General features: G+C 39.1%; 1 long non-coding RNA gene and 4 other non-coding genes across 10 annotated transcripts in view; 4 read left to right on the top strand and 1 right to left on the bottom strand.

Moving 5' to 3' along the window:
* Positions 1–15169, bottom strand: part of LOC105373347 (periphilin-1) — a 90847-nt gene that overhangs the window by 7927 nt on the left and 67751 nt on the right. The gene's annotated exons all lie outside the window — the stretch shown is intronic.
* MIR509-1 (microRNA 509-1) lies at positions 3344–3437 on the top strand. The gene has a single exon (NR_030236.1). It is a non-coding gene; the product is annotated as a microRNA 509-1 (primary transcript).
* Positions 4243–4317, top strand: MIR509-3 (microRNA 509-3). Its single transcript, NR_030629.1, has one exon. It is a non-coding gene; the product is annotated as a microRNA 509-3 (primary transcript).
* MIR509-2 (microRNA 509-2) lies at positions 5119–5209 on the top strand. Its single transcript, NR_030586.1, has one exon. It is a non-coding gene; the product is annotated as a microRNA 509-2 (primary transcript).
* On the top strand, positions 13739–13818 carry MIR514B (microRNA 514b). Its single transcript, NR_036173.1, has one exon. It is a non-coding gene; the product is annotated as a microRNA 514b (primary transcript).

Below are 15169 nucleotides of genomic sequence, written 5' to 3'. Positions count from 1 at the left end.
TCATATGCTGCATCTGCAGTACACTCTAGAATAGTGGTCTGAGCATTGGAAGAGTGCCCCTGACTTCTTACCACGTACACATGGTGTTTTGTCTCCGAGCCATTAAGCTGGGTGTGTGGGATGGTTGAGAAATGCCGAAAGCCTATGACTTCCATGAATATACCATAGCACTTATTGGGTGCTGGAAGGAAATTCCTTTTGTAGGCCACAGTCACCTAAACTCCTCAATCCTCATCCTCTGGCATTCATTCATCATATTTATATACCCATAGCTTGATGTACCAGGTTCAGTTTTTCCACGGAGATGCATACACTATGTAGTATATCTCAGAATGGAAAAATACAATAGCATGCTCAAAACAAACTTGTTCCAAGAAAAGACCCTGAAAACCTAGGAAAGAATTTGAGGGCATCCTTAGGCAACAGGTATAGTTTTAATCTTGTAGATTACTCCTGATAAGTAAAATGGGCTTTTTACACATTACTTGCTGAGGAAGAAAGGAAATTTCTGCTCTCTTTATCTCATCATTCACTGATTATTCTATTCTTTAATTCCAGGATCATGTGTGTTTTTCTTGTTTATTCTGTGTCTCAGTAGTTGAGGTGCATAACTCAAGACTTAGAGGGACTCATATCTTCAGGTGACAGATATGGTGTATTAATCAGTTTTCACACTGCTGATAAAGACATACCCAAGACTAAGCAATTTACAAAGGAAAGAGGTTTAATGGAGAACTCACAGTTCCATGTGGCTGGGGGAACCTCACAATCATGGCAGAAGGCAAGGAGGAACAAGTCACATCTTACAAGGATGGTGGCAGGCCAAGAGAGAGAGAGCTTGCACTAGAATACTCCCATTTTTAAAACCATCAGATCTTGTGAAACTTAGTCACAATCACAAGAACAGCACAGGGAAGACCCGCCCCCATGATTCAATCTTCCACCGGGTCCCTCCCACAACACATGGGAATCAGGGGAGCTACAAGATGAGATCTGGGTGGGGACACAGAGCCAAACCATATCATTCCACTCAGGCCCCTCCAAAATCTCATGTTCTCATATTTCAAAACACAATCATTCCTTCCCAACAGTCCCCCAAAGTCTTAACTCATTTCAGCATTAACTAAAAAGTCCACAATCCAAGGTCTTGTCTGAGACAAGGCAAGTCCCTTCAACCTAAGAGCCTGTAAAATCAAAAGCAGGTTAGTTACTTCCTAGATATAGTTGGGGGTACAGGCATTGGGAAGATACAGCCAATCCAAATGGAAGAAATTGGCCAAAACAAACGGGCTACAGGTCCCATGCAAGTCCAAAATCTGGTGGGGCAGTCAAATCTTAAAGCTCCAAAGTGATCTCCTTTGACTCCATTTCTCACATCCAGGTCATGCTGATGCAAAAGGTAGGTTCCCAAGGTCTTGGGCAACTCTTCCCCTGTGGCTTTGCAGGGTACAGCCTCCTTCTTGGCTGTCTTCATGGGCCAGTGTTGAGTGTCTGTGGCTTTTGTAGGCACACAGTGCAAGCTGTCAGTGGATCTACCATTCTGGGGTCTGGCGTATGGTGGCCTTCTCACAGCTCTACTAGGCAGTGCCTCAGTAGGGACTCTGTGTTGGGGCTGTGATCTCAGCTTTTCCTTCTGCACTGTCCTAGCAGAGGTTCTCCGTGAGATCCTTGCCTCTCCAGCAAACTTCTGCCTGGAGATCCAGGCATTTCTATTCATCCTCTGAAATCTAGGTGGAGGTTCCGAAACCTCAGTTCTTGACTTCTGTGAACCCACAGGCTCAACAGCTTATGGAAGCTGCCAAGGCTTGGGGCTTGTACCCTCCAAAGCCACAGCCTGAGCTATACCTTGACCCCTTTTAGCCACAGTTGGAGTGGATGGGACACAGGGCACCAAGTCCCTAGACTACACACGGCACAGGAACCCTGGGCCTGGCCCTCAAAGCAACATTATCCCCCTAGGCCTCCAGGCCTGTGATGGGAGGGGCTGCCACGAAGACCTCTAACATGCCATGGAGATACTTTCCCCATTGTCTTGGGGACTAACATTTGGCTCTTCATTACTTATGCAAATTTCTACAGCTGGCTTGGATTTTCCTCAGAAAGTGGGTTTTTCTTTTCTATAGCATTGTCAGGCTGCACATTTTCCAATCTTTTATGCTCTGCCTCCCTTATAAAATGGAATGCCTTTAACTGCATGCAAGTTACCTCTTGAATGCTTTGCTGCTTAGAAATTTCTTCTGCCAGGTACCCTAAATCATCTCTCTCAAGTTCAAAGTTCCACAGATCTCTAGGGCAGGGGCAAGATGCTGCCAGTCTCTTTGCTAAAACATAAAGAGTCACCTTTGCTGCAGTTTCTAACAAGTTCCTCATCTCCATCTGAGACTACCTTAACCTGGATTTCATTGTCCATATCATTATCAGCATTTTGGGCAAAGCCATTCAACAAGTCAAGTCTCTAGGGAGTTCCAAACTTTCCTACATTTTCCTGTCTTCTTCTGAGCTCTCCAAAGTGTTTCATCCCGTGCCTGTTACCCAGTTCGAAAGTCGCTTCCATATTTTCAGGTATCTTTTCAGCAGTGTCCCACTCTACTGGTACCAATTTACTGTATTAGCCCATTTTCACATTGCTGATAAAGACGTACCCAAGACTGGGCAATTTACAAAGGAAAGAGGTTTAATGGAGAATTCATAGTTCCATGTGGCTGGGGAAGCCTCACAATCATGTTAGAAGGCAAGGAGGAGCATGTCACATCTTACATGGATGGCGACAGGCAAAGATAGAGAGCTTGTGCAGGAAAACTCCCATATTTAAAACCATCAGATCTCATGAGACTTAGTCACTATTATGAGAACAGCAGAGGAAAGACCTGCCCCCATGATTCAATCATCTTCCACTGGGTCCCTCCCACAGCATATGGGAATCATGGGAGCTACAAGATGAAATTTAGGTGGGGACACAGAGCCAAACCTTATCATATGAGATTGATGAGATGGAGGATTATTTACTACTTAATTAATGGATATGGAGAATGCAAACTGGTAGTTAATGCTTTGCAAGTAGCAATGTGAAAAGGAACAGGATAAGACATGCAAGGATATTTCTTCTGTGAGTAACAGAACCTAACAGAAATGTTTAATATTTCTCAGTTCTGAAAACTGTCACGTGAAAGCTGCAACATGGGAGTGGACAGCACTCAAAGCAGGAAACATAAGGAAAGATAGTGGATTGGATTCTGCAGAAGTCCTTTGTCCAAATTCCAATGGCCACCCACAACTTGTAAATATTGAATGGCTGTTTTAAAGGTGAATGGGTGGGTATTAAGGCAAGGCTGCCATCCTCAGACATGCTGTGTGTGGTACCCTACTGCAGACAGTGGCAATCATGTATAATTAAAAATGATTGGTACGTCTGTGGGTAGAGTACTGCATGACACATGCAACATACATGATGACACTGTGTGTGTGTTGGAGGCATTTAGTTGCATGCAGAGGGATGCTTTCCTTACAGTGCAGGTATTTTACCCTCACAAACCCTCCACTTCCATGCTGGACTACCTCAGAAAACTCTCTCAGGTGCCTGACCACCAGACACGTGATCTAGGAATTTAAGGTCCTTGCAACAAGCCTCCCATTGAGTTCTTCTGAGATTGACTTCCATTTCTATGATGTTGCCTGATTGAACCAAGGTTTATCTTGCCATTTTACAGTTTCTTTCTGCCTTAAGAGTATTATTCATTTTGCAGAAACTATTTCCTTCTCCAACATCCAAATCTATTAACGGTTAGCTTCCTTTCTAATTTTCAAGTCTTCTTAAGCCTTCCAAAATTCCCTCCTGCTTCTTAAACACTTAACTTTCTGAAAATCAAAATATTTTCTGTCTCAGATATACAAAGTCCTCTTTCTTCATGTGCTAATAAAGTACATATTCGTTCTTTTGTAAATATATTTTAATCTATTATAAGGAACAGGATAAGACATGCAAGGATATTTCTTCTGTGAGTAACAGGACCTAGCAGAAATGTTTAATATTTCTCAGTTCTGAAAACTGTCATGTGAAAGCTGCAACATGGGAGTGGACAGCACTCAAAGCAGGAAACATAAGGAAAGATAGTGGATTGGATTCTACAGAAGTCCTTTGTCCAAATTCCAATGGTCACTCACAGGTTGTAAATATTGAATGGTTGTTTCAAAGGTGAATGGGTGGGTATTAAGGCAAGGCTGCCATCCTCAGACATGCTGTGTGTGGTACCCTACTGCAGACGTGGCAATCATGTATAATTAAAAATGATTGGTACGTCTGTGGGTAGAGTACTGCATGACACGTGCAACATACATGATGACACTGTGTGTGTGTTGGAGGCATTTAGTTGCATGCAGAGGGATGCTTTCCCTATAGTGCAGGTATTTTACCCTCACAAACCCTCCACTTCCATGCTGGACTACCTCAAAAAACTCTCTTAGGTGCCTAATCAGACACATGGTCTAGGAATTTAAGGTCCTTGCAACAAGCCTCCCATTGAGTTTTTCTGAGATTGATTTCCATTTCTATGATGCTGCCTGATTGAATCAAGGTTTATTGTGCCATTATACAGTTTCTTTACGCCTTAAGAGTATTATTCATTTTGCAGAAACTGTTTCCTGCTCCAACATCCAAATCTATTAATGGTTAGCTTCCTTTCTCATTTTCAAGTCTTCTTAAGCCTTCCAAAATTCTCTCCTGCTTCTTAAACACTTAACTTTTCTGAAAATCAAAATATTTTCTATCTCAGATATACAAAGTCCTCTTTCTTCATGTGCTAATAAAGTACATATTCGTTCTTTTGTAAATACATTTTAATCTATTATAAGGAACAGGATAAGACATGCAAGGATATTTCTTCTGTGAGTAACAGAACCTAACAGAAATGTTTAATATTTCTCAGTTCTGAAAACTGTCATGTGAAAGATGCAACGTGGGAGTGGACAGGACTCAAAGCGGGAAATATAAGGAAAGATAGTGGATTGAATTCTGCAGAAGTCCTTCGTCCAAATTCCAATGGCCACGCACAGCTTGTAAATATTGAATGGTTGTTTTAAAGGTGAATGGGTGGGTATTAAGGCAAGGCTGCCATCCTCAGACATGCTGTGTGTGGTACCCTACTGCAGACAGTGGCAATCATGTATAATTAAAAATGATTGGTACGTCTGTGGGTAGAGTACTGCATGACACGTGCAACATACATGATGACACTGTGTGTGTGTTGGAGGCATTTAGTTGCATGCAGAGGGATGCTTTCCTTACAGTGCAGGTATTTTACCCTCACAAACCCTCCACTTCCATGCTGGACTACCTCAGAAAACTCTCTCAGGTGCCTGACCACCAGACACGTGATCTAGGAATTTAAGGTCCTTGCAACAAGCCTCCCATTGAGTTCTTCTGAGATTGATTTCCATTTCTATGATGTTGCCTGATTGAACCAAGGTTTATCTTGCCATTTTACAGTTTCTTTCTGCCTTAAGAGTATTATTCTTTTTGCAGAAACTATTGCCTACTCCAACATCCAAATCTGTTAACTGTTAGCTTCCTTTCTCATTTTCAAGTCTTCTTAAGCTTTCCAAAATTCCCTCCTGCTTCTTAAACACTTAACCTTCTGAAAATCAAAATATATTCTATCTCAGATATAAAATGTCCTCTTTCTTCATGTGCTAATAAAGTACATATTCGTTCTTTTGTAAATATATTTTAATCTATTATTAGTAAGTCATATATCAGGAATTGTGAATAATGCTGAGAATTTTTTATTGTTTGATTTTTTTGCATTTACTTAAAAACATTTTTTATCTCTAGGTTTTCATTTACTTCCTTTATGTTGTTTCTTTCTCATTCAGTGATGAGAGAGGGTGTATGGAAGCAGAAAATGGGTAAAGGAGAGAGAATGAGAGTCAGAATTAGAGCAAGAATAATCTGTTTTTTTTTTTTTTTTAATCAAGTAGGGTAGAAGTCACAGGTGGACATCTAGGTTTTATTCCAGTTATTCATGGCTAAAAATAAAGCTACTTTGTATATTTGCATACAGATGTATATATGAACACAAGTTTCATTTTCCTTGTGTAAACTGCTACTAGTAGGATTTGAAGGTCACATGGCAAGTGTAAGTTTACATTTAAAATTAATTAAAAAATAATTTCCAGAATGGTTTTACCATTTTGTGCTGCATTAAGCAATGTATTAGTGATCCAATTACCCAACTTCTTATCAGCATTTTGTATTGAAAAGCCTTTGTTTTGTTTTTATTAGCAATTTTAATATGTGTATAGTTCCCTTGTCAGTTGTGGTTTTAATTTGCATCACCTTACTGACGGAAAATGTTGAGCACCTGTACATGTACTTACTTACCATTCATGTATCTTCCTTGGTGAAGTGCCTTTGGGATTTTTCTCACCTTTACCGAGTTGTTCACTTATCTTTGAGGTTTACTATATACATATAGATAGAGATATATAGGTATACTGCATACAATTTCTTGGCCAGAATTATGATTTACATATATTATCTCTCAATCTGTTTTGTTTTTTTCATTTTCAACAGTATTTTGTGCAGAGCAAATGTTTTCAATTTTGATAAAGTACGACTTAACAGTTTTTCAATGTATGCATTATGCTTTTAATGCTGTATCTAACAACTTTTAGACTTAGATGTGAGATTCATGGTTAACTGTGTTTTTCTTTCAGCATTTTGAATATGTTCTACAACTGATTCCAGCTTCCATGGTTTCTCAAAAGAAGTCAGTGTTAAATCTTGTAAGAATCACTTGTATGAAATATGCTCCCTTTCTCTTGCAGCTATAAAGGTATTCTTTCTTTTACACATTCTCTTTCTCTCTCTCTCTCTCCATTAACAGATTGAATACAATGTCTTTAAGTCTGGATATCTTCATGCTTATCTCACTTTTTTGATGTGTACATTTATGTTTTTTATGAAATTTGAAGTTTTTAGCATTATTTCTTTCAACACTATTTTTTTCTGGTTTTCTCTCTCCTGTCCTAATGCTATTTCCATTAGGCATATTTTGGTATGACTCTGGTGTTTCACCTTTCTGAGGCCATGCTCATGCTATGTTACTGAATGGAAAAGTGTAAAAAAAAAAAAAACTTTAAACTATCTTGTTCCAGGAAAATGCTCAGAAAACTCAGGAACAAAAAGAAATATAAGAACATCCCAAGATACCAAGACCATTTTCTGTCTCGTTGATCACTGCTGGTATGTAAAATGAGCTTTTTCGATTACGGAGTCTGGAAAGAAAAATGAGTTTTTACTCCTTCCATTCCACTACCTACTGAACCTACTGATTATTATCTTGTTATTTACTTAGTTGATCTGGTCTTTTTTTTTTTTTTTTTTTCATTTTTTTTGAGATGGAGTCTTGCTCTGTCACCCAGGCTAGAGTACAGTGGCGCGATCTTGGCTCACTGCAAGCTCCACCTCCTGGGTTCATGCCATTCTCCTGCCTCAGCCTCCCCAGCAGCTGGGACTACAGGTAGCTGCCATCACACTAATTTTTTTTTTTTTTTTTTTTTTTGAGACCGAGTCTCGCTCTGTCACCCAGGCTGGAGTGCAGTGGCACGATCTCGGCTCACTGCAAGCTCCATGTCCTGGGTTGACACCATTCTCCTGCCTCAGCTTCCTGAGTAGCTGGGACTACAGGTGCCCCCCACCACGCCCGGCTCATTTTTTTGTATTTTTAGTAGAGACTGGGTCTCACCGTGTTAGCCAGGATGGTCTCGATCTCCTGACCACGTGATCCGCCCACCTCGGCCTCCCAAAGTGCTGGGATTACAGGCATGAGCCACTTCGCCTGGCCAATCTGGTCTTTTTTATCTGCTCATTCTGTGATTCAGAAATTGAGGAACATAACTCAGATAAAAGGACTCAGATCTTTGGGTGACAAGGCAAGAGTGGTGAGATGGAGTGTATTTACTGCTTAATTATTGGGTCTAAAGAAGACAAATGATTTGTTAATGCTTTATATATAATAATGGATAAAAAAAACCAGGACAAGACACACAGGGGTACGTCTTATATATGCAAGAGAACATAAGAGAAAGGCTTAATGATCCCAGCACTTTGGGAGGCAAAGGCGGGAGATCACTTGAGGTCAGGAGTTGGACACCAGCCTAGCCAACATAGTGAAACCCCGTCTCTACTAAAAATACAAAAATTAGCTGGGTGTGGTGGTGGGCACCTGTAATCCCAGCCACTCGGGAGGCTGAGGCAGGAGAATTGCTTGAACCTGGGAGGCGGAGGTTGCTGTGGGCCAAGATTGCACCACCACATTCCAGCCTGGGCAACAGAGTGAGACTCCGTCTCAAACAACCAAACAAAGAGGCTTATTGCTCCTCAGTTCTGAAAACTACCATGTGAAAACTTCAACACACAAGTGGACAGCACTTCAGGGAAGAATGGATGAGGAAAAAAAACAGTGGAGTGTTCACTGTAGAGGTACTTTGAACAAATACTGGTAGCCACTCACAGCCTGAAAACATTGCGTAGCTTTTTAAAAGGTACATGAATGGGTGTTTAAGCAGGGCTTCCATCCTTAGACATGCTGTCTGCGGGGCCTTACTCGAGAGAGTAGCAATCACATATGGTAATGACATATGATTGAAACCTCTACGAGTGGTGTAACACGTGACATATGCAGCATATGTAATATAACTATGGGTGCACTTGAGGGAAGATTAGTTGCATGCAGAGAGCTGTTTTCCATAGAGTACATCTATGCTGTTCACACACCTCCGCCACCCTGCTGGACTATCTCATGGAATCATCTTATGTAAATTTGCAGAGGTAAGTCCTAGGAACTAAAGGTCCTGGAAAAACGCCTTTTCTTGTTTTTATTTTTTCCTGGGATATCTTTTCCTGGGATTGATACCTATTTTTACAAAGTTGCCTGACAAAAATGAAAACCAGGTTTTCAGTGTGGCTATGTTTTTATTCTCTGCTGCAGAGTATTAAGTTTTTACAGAACCTTTTTCTTTCTTGATGCTTATATCAGTTTACAAGTTATTATTTATTATTCCCTCCTCCTCGTTTTCAAGCCTTCTTTTTAGGCCTTTCCAAATCCCCTCCTACTACTCAGATCCCAACCTGCTGACAACATATTTTCTGTCTCAAATATGAAAGCTCATTTTTTTCTTCATTGGCTGAAGAGGTACTCATTCTTTGAAAAGCATTTGAATCCTTTATAAGCCACCAATTTATAAGAGGTTGTGCAGAGCACACAGAAACTTGTACTCTTTGATTTATTTCATTTTGTTTTGCTATTACTATTTATTTTAACTTACATGTCTTTCGTTTTCCTTTTATTTTTCATGTGGTGTCACTTCCTAACACTGTGATGAGTGAGAGAGTGAGTGTGAAAAAAAGACACACACAGAGAGAGAAACAGAGACAGGGAGAGAGAATGCAAGAAAAGCAGACAAGACTCAATTGCTTCAGTGTTGTTTTTATTACTGAGTTGGGTACAAGTCAGGTGATGGACAATCTTGTTTTTTTTTTTCAAGTTGGTTTTTTTTTTTTTCAATAATTGTACCGTACACAGTTGCATACAGATATGTGTGTAAACACAAGTTTTATTTTACTTGTGTAAACTTGTAGGTCTTATGGTAAATGTAATTTTAAATTTAAAAGCAATAGAAAAATAACTTATTCCAGAACTGCTTTAAACTTTTTTGCTGCCATGAAAAATGTCTAACATCTCCAGTTACTCATATTCTTATCAGTGTATTTTATTGGCAATTTTTGTGTTGTTTTGTGTTTTTATTAGCCACTGTAATATTTGTATAGATTTTTGTCATTGTAGTTTTAATTCGTACATTCATATTGACTACAAGTATTGAGTGTCTCTTAATATATTTATTTGCTATTCATACATCTTCTTAATGAAGTATCCATTGAGGAATTTTTACAAATTTTATTGCGCTGAGTTATTATTAATGATATTTAAGAGTTCTTATATGTTCTGAATACAACTCCTTGAAAAATGTGATTTGCATGCGTATCTCAGTCCACAATCTGTCTTTTCATTCTCTTAACTGTTTCATACAAAGCAAGTGTTTACAATTTTAATAAAGTGCAATTTATTGATATATTTATGTTATGAGTTGTACTTTTAGTGCTATAGTGAACAGCTGTTAGCCTTATATTATTCTTGTTTGACTATGTTTTTCTTTTAGCATGTTGAATGTCACCTCCCACTGCTTTCTGGTCTGTATACTTTCTTATGAAAAGTCAGCTATTAATCTTACAAAAATCCCCGTATGCAATGAGTCGCTTTTCTCCTGCAGCAGTCAATATTAACTATTTTCCATAGGTATCAACAGATTGCATGTAATGTCTGTTAATCTGAGTTTCTTTGTATTTGTTCTACTTGAAATTTGTTTTACCTCTTGGATGTGTAACATTTTTCATCAAATTTAGGAAGTGTTCCTTCCGAAGAATATTTGAGCAGGTTTCTTTTTTCCTTTTCTCTCTCTTCTTATTCTGGTAATTCCATAATGCAAATCTTTTGCCCTTTCTGGTGTTTTACTTCCTTGATGCTCTGTTCATTTTTCCTCATTCATTTTACTCTGCGTTCTTCATAAGGCATTAGTACTATTAATGTGCGATGTATTATTTATTCTGATAGTTGAAATATACTGTTGAGATTCTCTATTGAACTTTTATATTTAAGTTATTGTACTTTTAAAATCCATATTTTCCTTTTTTAATAAGTGTTTTCCCCAGCACTTTGGGAGGCTGAGACAGGCAGATCATCTGAGGTCAGGAGTTCAAGACCAGCCTGGCCAACATAGTGAAACCCCATATCTACAAAAATACAAAAATTAGCCGGGCATGATGGTAGGTGCCTGTAGTCCTCTCTACTTGGGAGGCTGAGGCAGGAGAATCACTTGAACCTGGGAGGTGGAGGTTGTAGTGAGTCAAGATCGTACCATTGCGCTCCAGCCTGGGTGACAGAGGAGACACCGTCTCAAAAAAAAAAAAAGTGTTTTCTACATTTTTATTATTATAAACTTTAGATGAGACATTGCCATCATAACTTCCTTTACATCTAAATTTTTTTTATTTCTTTGAAATCTTTAATTGTTGCGATAAAGTCTTTAACTGTTAGCATGATTTCTGTGCCCTCTCATGGGCATTTTCTGTCATATATTTTTGTTATCTGTAAAGACTACACTATCTTTTTTTTGTACATATTATGATTTTCTGTAAAACAGGATAGTTAAGATCAAATATTGTATTCTGGATAATAACCACTTCCTCTGAGGAATTATATTTTTTTTGTTTCTTTGTTTTGTTTTTGAGATGGAGTCTCGCTCTATCACCCAGGTTGGAGTGCAGTGGCGTGATCGCGGCTCACTGCGACCTCTGCCTCCTGGGTTCAAGCGATTCTCCTGCCTCAGCCTCCTGAGTACCTGGGACTACAGGCGCCCGCCACCGCGCCCAGCTAATTTTTGTATTTTTAGTAGAGACGGGGTTTCACCATGTTGGCCAGGATGGTCTCAATCTCCTGACCTGGTGATCTACCCACCTCAGCCTCCCAAAGTGCTGGGCTTTACAGACGTGAGCCACCGCACCTGGCTTTTACTGTTGTTGTTGTTGTCTGTTTTTAATTTGTTTATTGAATTGGCTGGAGTTTATTTACTTATCTGCTGTGAATTTTCTTATACTGTTCTTTAGAGAGCACAGCCTTTGTATGCACATAGTAACTCTAAGATGACAGTGATTTTAGTAGCATTCTTTTTGTTTCTTTTCCTGATCTCTCTGTCCAGCTAGTGGTCTCTGTGTATCACACAGAGATGTTAGGTTTTCTCACTGAATGCTGACTTTCTCTATCGTTTTTTTTGAATTTTAAGGGAAAAACGTATCAGAGTTTGATCAAAATAATTTAAGCCACTTGGAACACGTTGTTTTAAAGGCAAGTCTTTCAGGTTTGTTCTGATACAGGAAGGCTCTTATTAGCTGTCAGTTTATCGGATACTCTGGTAAATAAGCTGGCCTGTGGTTTAGCTTGTTGCTCTCATACAGCTACCAAATCCATCTTACTTACTTACCTCCAAAATCTGTGTTGTTACCTGGAGCATCGTTAAGCCTGAGCTTTCCCTGACTCTGCTATAAATAAAGTCCTATTTTTTTTTTTAGGAGAGCTATAATACCATCTTTTATTCAAACTCACTTCTCACACTGGGAAAAAGAATCTCTGACTCACTGCTCTCAAGCTTTGGGAAGGTGCAGCGACCTGCTTCTTTCACAACACTCCTGCTTTATGTACAGAGTGAAGATTGGTAGTCGTAGATTTTGGTCTTCTCAGCCTGCTCATTCCAGGGTTGAAACTCTGTTTTATGATTATTCTGGGGTGATGATGATCAGAGACCCCATATTCTCAACCTGCCAAAACCACACTAAAGCCTACACCCTACGAAAGTGAGCTGAGTGTACGAACAGTGCCCCTAACATCTGTACCTGTTGCTTAGCCACAGCAACACAAAATTAAGGGTAGGGTGCATGAGAAAGGCTGGGAACTTGTTTCTTCCATTAAGATACCATAATTTTTGACTGGTAGCAACTTCACATTTTAGGCTACTTACAATCACCTCTTTCTTCCATCCCAGTTCTCTGACATCCATTTACCATATTTGTGTTACTATATTTTGGTGTCCCAGATTTAGTTCATCCAGGAAAATGAAGACACATAGTTGCATGTTTCCAAATGGAGAAAAATGCAAACAAAAATGCTTGAAAAGACCACGCTCGAGGGAAAGACTCAGAAATCTCACAAACTGGAAGAAGTTTAATGGCATCCATAGATGCCAAGAACATTTTCTGTTTTGCAGTTCATTCCTGGTAAGTAAAATATTTTTATTTTTGCTCTAGGATTTAAGGAGAAACAGACATTTCTACTCTCCATCACATCAGTGATTACCATCCTATCCTAGAATCTTGTGTGTTTTCCCTGCTTATTCTGTGGTTCAGGAGTTGAGGGATGTAACTCAGGTAGAGGGACTCATCTTCAGGTGACGAGCATAGATGACATAGAGTATATTTTCCTGTTAACTATTAGACCTGAGGAATGTAAACTGCTTTCTAACACTTTATAATAATGGAAAAAATAAACAGGATAAGACATGCAAGGATTTTTCTTCCGTGCACAAGAGAGTCTAGCAGAAAAGCTTAATGGTTCATAGTTCTGAAAATTGCCATGTCATAACTCCAAACCATGATTGGACAACACAGGAAAGGATGGATGAAGAAAGACAGTGTAGTGCATGCTACAGAGGCCCTTTGTATGAACACCAGTCACCAATCAGATTGAAAACAATGATGTGTTTTTGAAAGATGCATGTTGGTCAAAGAGTACAAACTTTGAGTTACGTAATAGATAAGCTCTGGCTATCTAATGTATAGCATAGTGATAATAATGCTGTAATTGTTTACTGGAAATTTGATAAGAGAGCAGATTTTAAGTGTCCTCACCACACCCCCACAACACACACACAAATGGTAACTAAGAGCGGTGAATGATGTGTTAGTTAATTTTACTATGGTAATCAGTACGCGATGTATATACATATCAAATCACATTGCACACCTTGAATATATACAAATTTTGTTTGTCAATTACATATTTTTAAAATATAAAAAGAAAGGTGCATGAGTCAGTCATTAGGCTGGGCTGCCATCCTTAAGTGTTCTATTCTTCATGTGGTACTCTTCTCAAGAGGGAGGCAATCATGTGTAATTAGATATGATTGACACCTCTGTGAGTGGAGTAACACATGATATATACATCATATGACATGGCATGGTGGATACACGGGGCGTGTTAAGTTGCAAGCAGTATAATACTTTCCCTAGAATGCAGACATTTCTACTGACACCCTCCCTGTTCTGGACTAGCTCAGTTAATTCTCTAAATTAATTATCAGACGTAAGACCTAGAAACTGAAAGTCTGAGGAAAAACTTCCCATTGAGTTTCTTCTGAGATTCAGATCCCTTTTGCCAAAGTTGCTTGACCAAAATGGTAACAAGCCTTTCACTGTCTTCATGGTGTTCCTGTCACCTATAAAGTGTTTTTTCTTTTGTAAGAACCTATTCCCAACCGTAGCCTGCAAATCTCTTAACTTACCACCTATCGACATTCCTCTTCATTTTTAAGATTTTCCCCTTAGGCATCCATCAGTTCCCTCCCTTCTCAGATCCTTACCCTACTAAAGACCAAAGTATTTTTTTTCTCCCAGGTATTAAAGCTCCTTTTTTTTTTTTTTTTGGTAATTATTTCTGGTCTTTTCTGGTCTTTTTTTTAACTTTTATTTTAAATTCAGTTGTACATATGCAGGATGTGCAGGTTTGTTATATAGGTAAACATGTGTCATGCAGGTTTGTTGTACAGATTATTTTATCACCCAGGTATTAAGCCTAGTATCCATTAGTTATTTTTCCCGATCCTACCCTTCCTCCCACCTTCCACCCTTTGATAGGTCCCAGTGTGTGTTGTTCCCCTCTATGTGTCCATGTGTTCTCATCATTTAGCTCCCACTTACTTATGCATGAGAACATGCCATATTTGGTTTTCTGGTCCTGTGCTAGTTTACTGAAGGTAATGGTCTCCAGTTCCATCTATTTCCCTGTAAAGGACATGATCTCATTCTTTTTTTATGGCTGCATAGTATTTCATGGTGCATATGTACCACATTTTCTTTATCCAGTCTACCATTTATGGGCATTTAGGTGAATTCCATGTCTTTGCCATTGTGACTAGTGCTGCAGTGAACATACTCGTGCATGTATCTTTATAATAGAACAGTTGATAATCCTTTGGGTATATACCCAGTAATGGGATTGCTGGGTCAAATGCTATTTCTGGTTCTAGGTCTTTGAGGAATTGCCACACTGTCTTCCACAATGGTTGAACTAATTTACACTCCCACCAGCAGTGTAGAAGCGTTCATGTAGTTTTTGTTTTTATTCTGTTTATGTGATGAATTCTAAGCTCTTAATGCACAGGAATTCAGTGAATCTTTACAAGAACCTTATGAAGTAGGAGCTGTTATATCCACTCTCATTTTACTAATAAGACAAGAAAAATAATTTTAATAAATGCCTTATGATCACACAGCTATCAAGAAGCA

This window comes from Homo sapiens, chromosome X (genome assembly GCF_000001405.40).
Source record: "Homo sapiens chromosome X, GRCh38.p14 Primary Assembly".
NCBI classification, from domain to species: Eukaryota; Metazoa; Chordata; class Mammalia; order Primates; family Hominidae; genus Homo; species Homo sapiens.
The sequence above is the reverse complement of the archived record's forward strand: the minus strand, read 5'-3'. Positions and strand labels throughout refer to the sequence as shown.